Here is a 15112-nt window from a genome sequence, read left to right as displayed (position 1 = left end):
TGACCCAGTTGCCTCTTAAAGGCCCTACCTCTTAGTTTTGCCACATTAGAGATTAAGTTTCACATGAGTTTCAGAGGGGACCAACATTCAAACTGTAGCAATGCATTTCTCATCAGTTATCTAAGGATCTCATTAGCATGCTCCAGAGTGGGTGGGGTATCTCAGTTGTCCCATCTAGAGTCCCCGAAACTACTGGGGAGAAGAAGTAATATTTTTTTCTTCACCCATTGCAAGGTTTATGGATAAGACTTCTACACAAAAGATAGATTAACAAGAGAAAAGCCTACAAATTTATTTAAGTTTTACCTGACATCGATGACGTTAGAAATGAATACTTAAAGAAACAGGAAAAACCTGCACATTTTTATGCAAGGCTTGATGATTAGTGGATAGTTGTGTAGAAACATGATTGGCTAAAGGGGATATAATTCAATGGTAATAAACTGGGGGGAACTTAGCAAGGTCTACTTGCTCAGATTCTTCTTGGTATCTCTATGTCTTTAAGGATAAGAAGGTTCCTTTCTGGCTGAGTATGGTGGCTCATGCCCGTAATCCCAGGAGTTTGAGAGGCCAAGGCGGGCAGATCACTTGAGGTCAGGAGTTTGAGACCAGCTTGGCCAACATGGTGAAACTCTGTCTCCACTAAAAATACAAAAATCAGCTAGGCATGCTGGTGGGTGTCTGTAATCCCAGCTACTTGGGAGGCTGAGGCAGGAGAATTACTTGAACCTGGGAGGCAAAGGTTGCAGTAAGCCAAGATCGCACCATCGCGCTCCAGCCTGGGTGACAGAGTGAGAGACACCATATCAGAAAAAAAAAAAAAAAAGTTCCTTTTTTCAAGGTGTAAGGAGGGAAGTTCTGGAATGAAGGTTTTATGAGCTAATTCAAAAAGGAAGTTCAGAGAATCCTTTTATGTCCTGCTTCAGGGGAGAATATTGAGACTTTCCTGTTTCTGCTGTTTTCACAAAGGCCAAGGTGCCGTATTTTGGGGTATTCTGTCCTGAACCCCATCAAAGACTCAAAACAGCATATAAATGAAGAGGACATGCAAACTGTGAATAAGCATGTACAATGATATTCAACATCATTAGCCATTTGAACCATGAAAATTAAAACCTAAATCAGATAGCACTACATACCTATAAGAATGGCTACAGTTTAAAAAAGGCCAGGCACAGTGGCTCATGCCTGTGATCCTAGTACTTTGGGAGGCCAAGGCGGGCAGATCACCTGAGGTCAGGAGCTCGAGACCACCCTGGGCATCATGGTGAAACCCTATTTGTATTAAAAATACAAAAATTAGCCAGGCATGGTGGTGCACACCTGTAATCCCAGCTACTTGGGAGGCTGAAGCATGAGAATCACTTGAGCCCGGGAGGTAGAGGTTGCAGTGATCTGAAATCATGTCGCTGCACTCCAACTAAAGCAACAGAGCAAGACTCTGTTTCAAAAAGAAAAAAAAAATAGTGACATGAAAGTCAGAGAACCTGCATCACTCACACAATGCTACTGGGAATGGAATAGAATGTAACATGGTAGGCGTTCTCTGGAAAACAGGTTGGCAGGTTTTGGAAAAGTCATACACGCAAGTACCACATGACACAGCCATTGCACATTGGAGCATTTATTTCAGAGAAATGAAAATCTGTACATACATTTTTGTAGCAGCTTTACCCATGATAGCCCACTCTATAAACAGCCCAGATGTTCTTCTACAGTGAAATGGTTAATCATTATGTGGACAGCCTGTGAATACAGCGGGAGCTACTGAAGCTCACAACAACTGGGATTACTTTCCAGAGAAGTATCTTTTGTGAAAAAGCCAGTCTCAAGAAGTTACACACTGTATAAAGCTATTTACATAGCAGCCTAGAAATGGCAAAATTATAAAAATGGAGAATAGATAAGCGGTTACTGGAATGAAAAAATGGGGGATGGAGAGAGATGAGTAGGAGGGAAATGGATGTTCTTTTAAAAGAACAAGCTGGGAAGTTCTCGTGGTGACAGGAATGCTTTGTCCCTCAGCTGATGTCAGTATCCTCATCATATTGCACTATCATACTACAAGATGTTAACATTTTGTTAAAATAAATATCTTTCTTATTTCTAAAAACGGCATGTAAATCTACAATTATCTCAAAATAGGTTAATACAACGTTTTTGCTTTACTGGAGAAAAATTAGCATGTAATAACAAAGTTTTCAGTATGTTCATATTTTAACATAACTCATGTTTGAAGTCAATATTTAGTTAAGATCAGCACCAAACATTATGATTTTTATACTGCATTTATTTTATTTGTAGTTATAAATTAAACAGATGTTAAGCTTTCAACTTTAAAGCTATGTTTCTGAAATACTAATACAAATGCTTTTTACCTGAAAGCTATTTACATTTTTACATTTCTACTAAAATTTCGGGTTTCTTAAATAAAATGTAGGAAATGTTTTATTCAATTTCACATTTAATACTTGAGTAATGATGAAAGCAAATAGACATATGTGTACTTATTAATTAAATTTTAATGGTAAGCATTTTTTCTGAATTCAAAAATAATAAAATTGGGGACATTATGTCATAGTTGTCTCTCTCTTTTGAATAAATACCTTCTTTACTAATAAAAACATATTGGTATTAAAACGTTAGCTTCCTGTTCTCCTAATACAGTAAAATAATTTCTCCATTAATTATATGATTTTTTTGAAGTGGAATCCTGAAGGCTTAGCCCATTTTGAAGTGGTTTTGGAGCATAACCTACATTTACTGGAAAGCAGGCTTATAATTTCGTATTCATTTTACAAACAAATGGCATATTCTATTCTGAGCAACTGTACAAATCCATATATTTTTGTCATATTAGAAATAGTCACATTTGGTTTTCATTTTTAGTAAAATTCAAATACTGTCAGAGAAAATTACTTTCAAAATCATAAAACTTTATGCTCTTAAACATCTTTAGCAGTGCTTTATTTAAAATCAACTACTTCTGAGTCTTGGGATTGAACTTGGATTGATGTTTGACATTACTTCTTCAAGGAATTAATTGGATTGGATTTAGCATCTTCATTTCTTTATCCTGAAATTGCTTCTGGTTCCTCTCCCTTACTTCCATCGCTTTTTCTCTGAAATAAGGGCAGGGAAATCAGTTTTATCTTTTTTTTATGAAGTACCCAGGTGTAGTAGTAATCTCATTGTGAAGGATCTTCACAACCAACAGGCAATGGCAGTAGCCAGTCCTCAGATTGAAAAATCCACAGTAAAAACTACTGGAAATTATAGTTCAAGCTTTGATAAGCCCTATTTCGTACAAGAAAGTCCGGGAACACTAAAGTCAAAAAAAAAAAAAAAAAAAAAACCTCACAAAGTTAAATATGTATTGGTGTATTCAGCAAGTCTTGGGTCTGAAGTTTAAACATATAGGTTTAGAAAACAGATTGTAGTAAGCACTGAGGATGACTCCTCATTTTGGTAACAATGACTGTCATTAACTAGACTCTCAAGAGATTCCTATATACAAAAGTTTATTGATTTTTATGTGGACCAGAAGTCTATCAGTGCATTCTTTACCCAGCTGCAATTTTAAAGCAGAAGATTGCTAAATGGGCATAGACTAAAAGGAATTTGACTTGTAGATGGATGCCAGTCAAACCATACACCTTGAGAGACAAATGCAACCGGGTTCATAATAGACAAAGATTTGCCACAGAATAAAGACATCTTTCTAGAGCCAAGATCAAATGGGAAGCTACCCAATTAATCTCATTTGAGTAGCACATTCCATACAAATAAATAATATCAGAATGTCTTCAAGTCTTACTGTCTCAGTCCACTTTATGTTGCTATAAAGTATACTTGAGACTGGGTAATTTATAAAGAAAATAAATTACTTGGCCTGTGGTTCTGGAGGCTGGGACGCTCAAGGGCATGGTAGCAGCTTCCAGGGAGGGCTTTTTTCACTGTGTCGAAACATGCCAAAGGGTATTACATAGTTAGAGGAGAAAAGCATGTGTGTCAGCTTGGGTCTCTCTTCCCCTTCTTATAAAGCCACCAGTCCAATCATCAGGGCGCCATCCTGATGACTTTATCTTATCCCGAAAATCCTATTTCCAAACAACATATGAATTTGGAGATAAAGTTTTCAACACATGAAATTTGGGGGATATAACATTCCACTCCAGCCCCCTAAATTAACATTATTCTCATATGCAAGATACATTTATTCCTTTCCAGTGGCCCCAAAGTCTTAACTCATTTGGCAGCAACTTAAGGTCCAAAGTCCTGAGTCCCATCTTAATCAGACATGGGTGAGACACAGGGCACAATTTATCCTAAGGCAAATTTCCTCCAGCCGTGAGCCTGTGAAATCAAACAAATTATGTACTTTCAAAATACAATAGTGGGACAGACAGAGGATATATATTTCTATTCCGAAATGGGGAAAGAGAAAATAGAAAAAGAACTTGTCTCAAGGAAGACCAGAATCCAAAAAGGAAAACATTAAATCTCAAAACTTCAGAATGATTTTTCACTGTGCATGCTGCCTCCCAGACACACCAGAGTGAATGTTGAGCCCCCAAGGCCTTTGGAAGCCCACTCCCCGTGTCTTTTCTGGGCTGAGCCCACGCTTCAGCACTCCTAGGATGGCATAACCTACTGGTAGCTTTGCAGTTCTGAAGTCTCATTGGTGATCCTGCTGCCAAGGCTGCAGTAGGCATTGCCTTGGTAGGAACTCTTTGTGACAGCTTTGACGCCACATACACTCAGTGTTGCCCTAGTAGGGTTCTCTGTGATGCCTGAAACAAGTCTCTGCCTGGGACCCCAGTCTGTCCTCAACATCCTTTGACGTCTAGGTGAGGAAGAAATGCCTCCATAGCTCTTGCATTCTGCAAGCCTATAGAATTAGTGCCACTTGGACACTGCCAAGGCTTATGGCTTGTATCTTCCAGAATCAAGCCACAGTTGGGGCAATCTAGAAGCACTGTGCTAAAATTTAGGGAACAAAGACCTGAGGTGGCCCTGGGCAGTGAGCCCAGGGAGGGCCTAGGCCTGTCCTCCAAAACCATTCTGACCTTCTAGAGCTCTGGGCCTAAGAAGGAACTCTCAAAGATCTCTGAAATCCCTTCTAAGTCTTTTTGCCATTGTCTTGATAATCCCTTCTATTAGCACTAAACCCTTTAGCAAACAGTTTCTGGGATACACCCTTGGTTTCCTCTCCTTAATATGTTTTTTCATTCTTTACCAAATGGCCAAGCTGTGAATTTTCCAAATCTTTCAGATCTGCTACATTTTTAATTAAAAATTCTGTCTTTAAATCATCTCTCTTCTCTCATATTTTACGGTAAGCAGTTAAAAGTAGCCATGCAGCCACTCTAAGTTTTGCTCCTTAGCGATTTCTTCTACCTAGTATCCTAGTTTATTGTTTTTAATTTCTGCATTTTATGAAACTTTAGGGCATGGGGATAATTCAGCCGTGTTTTTTGCTATGATATAACAAGGATGACCTTTAGTTTCCAACACCTCCTTCCTCATGCTCATCCGAGGCCTCATCATAATCATCTTTACTCCTTATTTCTGCCAGCATTCTGATCACAACCACTTAAGTGATTTGTAAGTAGTTGCAGACTTTCCCATATCTTTTCTTCTGAGCCATGAGAATTGCCCTTCACACTCCATTTGCAGCATTCTAGGCTTGTTCTAGCCTGCTCCTGCACATTATCCAGTTACAAAGCTGCTTCCACAATTTTAGGTAATTGTTATAACAACCTTGCTCTGGGTGCAAATTTTTTGTCTTTGTCCATTGTTTTCTACTGATATGAAAGAATTTCTGAGACTCGGAAACTTGTAAGGAAAAGTAGTTTATGTGGCTCACAGCTTTGGAGAACAGGAAGTCGATGGACATGGCGTCAGGGCAAGAGCGTGCACATCAGCCCAGGTCCCCATTGATCTTCTTCTAAAGATACTAGTCCCCTCGTGGAGGTCCCACCTGATGACCTTATCTAGTCCTATTTCCTCCCAAAGGACTCAGCTCCAATCAACATATACATTTGAGGAATAAGTTTCCAACACTTGAAATTTAGAGGACGTATTGGAGCCACATCACTGACCCTTAAAATGCCATCTTTCTAAAGTTACTTTAGCAAATCTGATTCTGGTACATTTATGCTGACTTCCTAAATTTACCTACATATATACCCATTTTTTGGGGTCTAGGAATCAGAGAACATGTGACATTGAGAAAGTCACTTCTCTGCACTTTACTTTCTCTTGCAGAAATGAGATGATAAGAACTGGCCTACCTATATTGATGTATACTTTGATGTCAACATACTCTTTGCAAACTCTTTAATTTTGGAAATAGAAAATTTAAATATATTATAGGACTAGTAAATGAATTTTCCTTTTTTTTTTCTATTTTGATTTTTCATTTCTTAGAAATTTTATCACAAGAAAACTCAAAGTTGGGCTGGGTGCAATGGCTCATGCCTGTAATCCCAGCACTTTGGGAAGCCAGGGCAGGAGGATCACTTGAGGTCAGGAGTTCAAGAGTAGTAGTAAATGATTATAGAAATACTTGAATTACCTTTCCCTAGGGATCAATGCTAAAAGAGGTTCTTTAAGTGCACATGGGTAAGCAGATAGAGAGATGGTTCAAAGAGTATAATATAAACAGACAATCCATAAAATGTTCTTTTTAGTAATGAAAATAGTGTTCAACCGTACATTTGAAATAAATAGAAAGGAGTCAAATAGAAATGGGAACAAAGTTGGAAGACTTACACTATCTGACTGTCAGACTTATTATAAAGCTATAATAATCTAACAGGTTAGTATTAGCACCAAGATGAACAAACATATAATTAGAATAAAACAATGATGGCCAGGCGTGGTGGCTCACGCCTGTACTCCCAACACTTTGGGAGGCTGAGGCAGATGGATCAAAAGGTCAAGAGATGGAGATCATCATGGCCAACATGGTGAAACCCAGTCTCTACGAAAAATACAAAACTTAGCTGGGCGTGGTGGTGCATGCCTGTAGTCCCAGCTACTCAGGAGGCTGAGGCAGGAGGATCACTTGAACCCAGGAGGTGGATGTTGAAGTGAGCCGAGATCGCGCCACTGCACTCCAGCTCCAGCCTGGTGACAGAGTGAGACTTTGTCTCAAAAAAAAAAAAAAAAAAAAGCCAAAAACATAAAAGCAAACAACAACAACAACAAAAAAAAAACGATGATTCTAGATAAACACTTACATGTATATGGCCAAATGATTTTTAATAAAAATTTAATAGTCATTTTGTAAAATAAATAAATAAATAAATCATTCTAAGATACAAAAGGAAAGAAATATACCCTTAACTCCATCCCTCATAGCACATATAAACACTAACTCAAAATATATCCGATGTAAACTATGAAACTTCTAGAAGAAAACAGAAGAAAAACTTTGTGACTACCGTTTAGAAAAAAAATTTTATAGATACAACACCAAAAGAAGAATCCCTAAAAGAGCAAATCGATACTTTGAACTTTATCAAAATTAAAATTTCTGCTCTTAATAAGACACTTCTGGGAATTGAAAAGGCAAACCAAGGACTGACAGGAAATGCTTGAGAATCAAATACCTGATAAAGAACTTTTATCCAAAATATATAAAGCATGATCAAAACTCAATTTAAAAACCACTCTATATAACAATGATCGAAACATTGCAACAGACACTTCATCTAAGATGATATCTAGATAGTAATTTAGTTAATGAAACGTAGTCAACTTTTAGTCATTTATGGTTAATGCAAATTCAAATCACAATGAGAAACCACTACCTACCTATTAGAATAAATAGAATCAATAAAATCACAATTAGAACCACTACCCACCTATTAGAATAAGTACAGATAGCCGGGCGTGGTGGCACGAGCCTGTAGTCCCAGCTACTCAGGAGGCTGAGGTAGGAGCATTGCTTCAACCCGGGAAGCATAGGTTGCAGTGAGCAGAGGTTGAGCCACTGCACTCCAGCCTGGGTGACAAAGCCAGATTCTGTCTCAAACAAAACAAAAGAAGAATAGGAATAGAATGAATAAAGAAAAAAAAGACTGCTCATGCCAGATGTGGACAGGGATGTGTGGGAGCTAGAACTTTCCTACAATGTTGATAGGAATGTAAAATTATACCATCATTTTGGAAAACAGATCATGCATTTCTTAAAAAGTTAGACATTTGCCATATCCCCGTTTATTTCACTCTCAGGTGTTTACCCAAGACAAATAAAAGCATGTCCCCATTTAAAGACTTGTCCACAAATGTGCACAGTAGTTTTATTCGTAACACACAAAGGCTGGAAAAAACCCAAATGTTCATCAAAAGGTGAGTGAATGGAGCATGACTAAGATGAAAAAGAAAGGAAGCAGGGCTACAGGAAGAGGGATGAATGTCAAAATAGGCATGCTCGTTAGAACAAGCTGTACAAACAAACCAGGTGGATTACTCTGTATAAAAATGTAGAAGGTACGAGCTAACCTATCATGAAAGCAGACAGTGGTTGCTAACTGTGGGGTCACGGACAGGCAAGAATGCAAGTCCAGGCAGCAAAGACATGTGAGGAAACTTTGACGTGATGGATAGGTTCAGTATTTGGATTGCAGTGACGGTTTCACAGGTGTATACACACATCAAAACCTACCAATTATGCACTTCAAACCTGTGCAGTTTATTTTATGGCAATTACACCTCATTAAAGCACTTAAAAATCTCAAAAAAATGTAAATGTGAAGAAGTTGACACTTCCATAAATAAAATACACACACAAATATAAATAAAATAAAATTCCTGGTGCACGCTAATAATATTTTTTTCCATATTGTTACAGTCTCTGTTAAGTGTACACATAGGATTGATTTTGTTGTATTGTGTTTAGAAAACTGGAAAGATTATTTAGCCTCTATTATTACTGGTCAAAATGTCTTATAGAAGCTTAGGTGCATGAAACGTGCAACGTTACACCTAGTACCGCTTAGTTCGAGGAGATTGTTCTCAGACACTTCAATGCTGATAAATTGTATATCATTTACTTCCTATCAAAAAATGAGTGGTTATTTGGTAGTTTAGCTCCTGCCATACTACTACTGCATGGTAGAGCTATGCCAAACTCAGAAGTTTAGATAAAAAGTGTCCATTGCCATGTATCTCCAGGCTAGCCGGCATTTGGCTCTCTTGGGTAGGCTCCGCTAGATGGCTGGGGCAACTCTGCTTGTCACTGAGGTTCTGTGGGTCACCTGGGGTCTCTGCTGCATGCTGTTCTTGTTCTCTTTGGACCGTAAGTTTAGCAGGGCATATTGCGCTCACAGACGCGGCAGAGAGAACTGAGTGGAGCCACGTGTGGCCTCTGAAGGGTTCACACCCTGCATCAGCATATCGACATCCCTTCTTCATTCCTTTGGCCATAGTAAGGCACAAGGATGAGCAGAGTGAGGAACAGAGAAGGGTGATTTACCTGTAAGGAGAGCAAAGCAAGTGTGTGGGTGCAGAGAGCTGTGGAGGAATGGGGCTAGTTATCCAATCAGCCACCTGCATGCGTCATGGGTATACTGAATTACTAAATATTTCCATCCAGGAGTCAACTTTGCTTTTGACTAGAACTGGATATTCTGCCTATTTTTTTAAACCCATCATATTGTAATTTTTATGGTTCCTCTTTCAGTCCTGAGGTCTGTGTCAAGAGTGTCCATGGGCCAAGACAGCCACCCTCTGGGAGAGGCCTGATCCAGGGGGTCGGGGGGCAGTTAGGTTTGTGTGTGTGTATGAGGTGAGACAAATGGACAAGGTGGACCCCAAATGCATGAAATAGAAGAACATGATGACTTCTAGATCCTAGGAGATCACTGGTGCTGATGGGAGGGCAATGGAAATCCAGAAGGCTGTGGGAAGCTCAGCCAGTGGGGAGGGGAGCAAGGGGAAGAGAGAGGACCCATGGAACTCTGCGTCTTAACTAAGGTCCGTGGGTGTTATCTTCACCTTTCTCAAGGGGTCTGTGGATTGGCTCAGTTGAACAAAAACAAGCAAAGAGGGAAACTTACCGACATGAGTCTGGTGTTAAATATTAGGTGTTTATCATGGTTAGCAGCTAAGGGGTGTTTGTGGACTTTGGGTAGTGGTTTCAGGAACAAGTAGGTGATGTCTCCACCAACCACATGGAGAAAGGAAGTTTCAACTAGACCAAAGGTGACAGGTTACAACTGGATTTCAAACAACTTATGTTTGAAAAATAAATGGTTACTAAAAATGGTTACTGAGGCAGCAAGTATATTAAAGAAATGTGTGACACAGCCAATAACTGGAAGAGTTTTCCATGTCTACCTGCTGGACGTACACAGTTTGAACTTTGTTTTTTATCTACTGCCTCTGTATTTACAATGCCAGGTTACTACAGGTCATTTTTATATAGAGACTGAACTTTGGGCCCTGAAAATTCATCAAAATAGTGTAAGTTACAAATACAGACTAGAAAAATATTGCTGGGAACCGTTTATATTTTGGATCAGTTATTCACAGAAATGACTACAAATCACATAATCAGAATGAATGTGTTCTCAACTCAATTCCCCTTTAGGTGGATCCTGAAAATATCTTTGGCCACAATAGTTCTTTAGTAGAAGTATAAATACAGCCACAATATATCAAGCTTATCAAGGTCACTGTAATTCATATATTTACTAATCATCTGATATACAAAGTACTGGGTATGAACACTGAGGTGAACAAGACATGAATTTGATCCACAGAGTTCCCTTTCCTCACTCATCATAAGGTTCAAGACCGACACTCCTATAAAGAGAGGCAGGTGTACCGGAGAAAAGCATAACACATTTATTTAATCCAAGTTTTAAATGATATGGGAGCCTTTGGAAATAAAGACCCAAAGACCCAGGGAAAATTGTCTATTTGCATGTTTAGGTTTGATGAAGAAAGGACAGCCACGAGGAAGAAACGTTAAAGTCTAACTTAAAATCTAACGTTGGAGAAAAGGTTATTAGCTAATGATAATAGATTGAGCAGAAACTCAGCAAGCCCACTCCAGATCCTTCTTGGCCTCTCTCCATAGCATTCTTCACCCACCTCTGAGTAGGCGGCAAGACTCCTCTGGAATGAGTGTCTGGAGGGAGAAGGGAGAGAGGGATCTTTCTAGGTTTTTCGGCTTGCTGTGGGGAGAGAAGTTTAATATTAGGTTGTTGCAAAAGTAATTGCAGTTTTGGCCATGACTTTTAACGGCAAAACCCCCACCTTGAGAAAGAGAAGTTCTGGTTTCTACCTCTCTTTTGTGGGTAGAAGGAGGAGAGAGAGACGACAGGACGGGGAAGGCCCGGGAGACCGTGCTCTGCAGCCTTTCCAGTCTCCTTCAGCTTATGGTGTGCAGCAACGCCAAGGCATCGTCCTTCGGGGTGTCGTGTTCTGAGCCTCAACAATTGTATGCATCCAAAACCCTTTTGAAAGAATGAACCTCACTGCTGTCTCCCAGAAAATAATTTCATTTCCAAAGTGTGTTGGTCTGTGAGGCATCAGTTCAGCTACGACATGAGATAAAAACAATTCCAGTCCCCTTTGCTGCTTACTTAAGTTAGCGAGTTATTTGTACATATTATGGAAATGACCAGGTTTAGTGACAGGAGAGAATGAGCCAGAGAATTTGAACAGTAATTTAATTCCCACTGTCAGAATAGAAAGCTAATGATGGTATATTACTTAACACATGAGGGAACTGATGTATGAAAAAGTTAAATTACTCGTTCAAAATCACCTAGTTAGTAAGTGTTGGAACAGGGACTGAAGCGTTGAACCCAGATCTCCCTGGCTCCGATTCTCTGTTTCTTTTCCTGCTTCTTTTCACTGATCTGTGCTGCCCGCAGTGCTGGCTGGCACTGTTTGGCATACATGGTCTTTCTGAATTCGTTTGCTGTGCTATTCATTAAGCTGTTTATCCTAAAAGAGACATATGATGCCGATTGTTCTTGCGTTTGTTTGGCTTTGTTTCTTACGTTAGTTTCTGTCGTCTTAGAGGGTCATTTTCTAAATTAAGTAGCTTGATTTGATAACAGAAGCAGTAACAGTTTGCTCATACTTAAAAAAAAAAAAAGCCCCTCCCTTTCAGTGAGAGGCATACTAGTCTAAAAATAGCCTTTCCAAAATGTACCATATTATCTTATGCCATACTCTCTAAATTAATTGACAAGAAATTGATTATCATTCTTTTCATAGAAGGCTTAACTTTGAAAATCCATCACATGGAAATGGGTGTCTCAGGTTGTCAGAGTATTCACCCACACAACAGCCCGAAGGAATTCGGGAATTTTGTCAAATGCAAAGTTGCCCCTGAATCTGGTTCCGGAGACAAACCAGAAAGCTGGCAGGAGCACTCTTTGTCACCAAGAAGCTGGCAGTTTCCCTGCCTGATCTGGAGTTGAAAATGTTACGGTTTGAAACTTTGTGGCATTTTGTCTGAAATGAAATTAAAATAGCTACCTAGATATTCTGGTCTTCTATCTGGCATTTAATTAAGAGGATTTCAGTCACTGTTCCTATATAAATTGAAAAGCCACATCAGTCCTGTGAGCCCTGGAAATATGATCTTACGTGCAGGCATGTTTATGAGTAAATACATGTCTGGGGTACTAAATAGTATTTCTGAACCATGAACCTTAAACATTTGCAAGACATCTTACCATTTACAGAAATTGCAGAACAATATTTGGAGCACTGAAGGTTATCCCGTCCCTAAGTTAATGCTAATTATAGGACACGATTCCGTCGCTAAACTATAAAACTGAGAGATGAAGACGAAAAATGCAAACACGGCCACACAATGAGAGTAGACACTGCTTTCCTCTACTCAAGAGAGCATTTTAGAAAAGCGAAATTCTTGCTTTTACATATTCCCTTTGTATATTCATTCTTTTCCTTTCTTAGTACACTGTAAAGATATATTACTGGACTTCATACAGTGTTGTTTTTCAGATGTTGTATATTTCCTCTTACTAATGAGGACAGTGACAAGAAGTGGGGAAGATTTTCAGTCTTCTTGGAGATAAGCTGGATGTGACAAGTAAGTGTGATTTTGCTTGAATTGTCTAACCTCTCATACTGGGCTTTAGTTAAATGTCAGGGGTAAGTGATGAATAAATGTGAAATCAGACGAACATTGGAAAGAAAATGGTATCTGGAATTAGTTGGGATGAATCTTTCTCAATGATGAAAACAAAAATACTGAGCTCATACCACAGCTGAGTGGACTAAAATTGTTCCTGCTCATGAAGGGCCCAGTGCAGTTTGGATTCTTAATAAATATTTAGGAACAGTGAGTAGCTGTCACTGCCAACCCACTCCTAGTGCCACCATCACCAAGGCACCCTCACCAGCACCATCGTCCAGGAATCAGGGGAGCCAGTTTCTCAGGATGGATTACCACAGCAACCAATGGGAACCAAATTGGAGGGAGGTCGGTCACATCAAATGTTCACCTTTCCCATGGTACAAAATGTATTGTCAGCCTTATTATTATTAGGGTTTAGGGCATAAACCCAAAAACAGGACTACAGGAGACCAGAATACATCACCCCTCAACGTACCACCCTAGCATATTGATTACTTTGAAGAATTTGAGAACGAGCCAACACAGGGAAAGCTCCTCACATCCTTCTCCACTGCAGAAAATAAGGTATAAAAAAGGAAATGTTCGTTAGCAAACGTGCCCACACCAGGAAGAAAGCTGCTCTAAGACAGCCTTTCTCATCTGCAGGACTTTTATCTGCATAACAAGAAAACCCCCGTTCTCCATACCTTCCTCCCCTCATCCTCCTGTGACTTCTCCCCACCATCTCTGAGGTTTTCTTGTTATGCAGATACAAGCCCTGATTCCTTTCCATAGCGCTCGGGAAGCTCAACCATTTGGCACTGCTTTGAGTCTCCTGTTTATGGGACTCTCATGCTTAGTATGTAATTAAAATTATTTGTCTCGTATTAATCTTAGTATTCATGTAATTTGTTGCTCAGCCAAAGAACCTAGGAGGGTGGAGAGGTGTCAATTTCTCCTCCACTACATTATCTACTTTTACAAATGCAGAAAGCACATCTCAGTTTTATTGCTTCTATCCTGAGGTTAATCTGTCCATTTTATACAAGGAATAGGGCCAGCCATGTCCATGATGGGCATTGCAAAGATGTCCTGGACACACAGTGTGTCCAGCGTCAGGAAGTAAGTTTTTACAAGAGAATCCTTCAGCAATTTTCTGGGAATCTCTTGCAAAATAAAGGACTCAGATGGAAACCATTTCCTGTAGTCTGTGATTAAGCTTTAGGCCCACTGTGACAAGTATCTAGTAAGTAAGTCACAGAAAATGCCATTTCACTTACGTTGGGTGGATTCCTGGATTTCCCCAGCTGGCCTGCACATAAGAAAGGTGTGAAAACTGTTCCAACTGCTTGAGTTTTAAACATTGAGTGAGCAGTGACTTTGATTTTATTCTGCTCCTTTCAGACTGCCAGATTCCCCATTAATTTTTAAACTGCAGAATGAATTCTAAAAGCCACAGTGGCAGTGTATGGAATGCTTTGTCGTAGCTCACACTCAAATACTCTTGCACCTGTAGAAAAACAAGTAGGGGTTTTGTTGCTTATGATACACGTTGACCCAGACTGTGAGTCGTGTTTTCTTCACCTACATTCTTTTAGACTGCCAGGAGACTCACTTGTCTCCTTTTACAAAGGACCAAAATTAAGTTTATTGTGAGCTCCTGTCAACCTAAAATGAGCCACAGAAAGACTGACTTTCCAAAGCAAAGAGCTTATTCAGGAACTGCAATCTGGGATACCAGTGCTGTGGCAGACCATGAGGGCATTCGAGAGGGTAGGGCACAGGAGCATCTATGAAAGACAAGAAGTCCATGTAAGCTTTTTTTGAAACAAAGATCTTGGAACTGGTTAATGGGTACAATGTAGATTATTCAGGTGATGGATACCCTAAAAGCCCTGACTCGACCACTACGCAATCTATGCATGGAACAGAATTGCACATGCGCCCCATAAATGTGTACAACTTAAAACGAGAACCAAATAAAACAGAGAGCTT

General features: G+C 39.5%; 3 annotated features.

The window, feature by feature from the left end:
- Nucleotides 13729–14023: a silencer, noted in NCBI's record as "tiled region #617; K562 Repressive non-DNase unmatched - State 24:Quies". NCBI's record gives its function as "represses a minimal TATA promoter and a strong SV40 promoter by Sharpr-MPRA in K562 cells {active_cell/tissue: K562}" and the evidence as "EXISTENCE:reporter gene assay evidence [ECO:0000049][PMID:27701403]".
- Nucleotides 13729–14597: a biological region, named in NCBI's record as "Sharpr-MPRA regulatory region 617".
- Nucleotides 13735–14597: an enhancer, noted in NCBI's record as "OCT4-NANOG-H3K27ac-H3K4me1 hESC enhancer chr8:5027055-5027917 (GRCh37/hg19 assembly coordinates)". NCBI's record gives its function as "activates a minimal SCP1, AML or CMV promoter by ChIP-STARR-seq in primed H9 embryonic stem cells {active_cell/tissue: H9 hESC(primed)}" and the evidence as "EXISTENCE:reporter gene assay evidence [ECO:0000049][PMID:30033119]".

The sequence above is a fragment of the Homo sapiens genome, chromosome 8 (assembly GCF_000001405.40).
Source record: "Homo sapiens chromosome 8, GRCh38.p14 Primary Assembly".
In the NCBI taxonomy this organism is placed as follows: domain Eukaryota; kingdom Metazoa; phylum Chordata; class Mammalia; order Primates; family Hominidae; genus Homo; species Homo sapiens.
The sequence above is the reverse complement of the archived record's forward strand: the minus strand, read 5'-3'. Positions and strand labels throughout refer to the sequence as shown.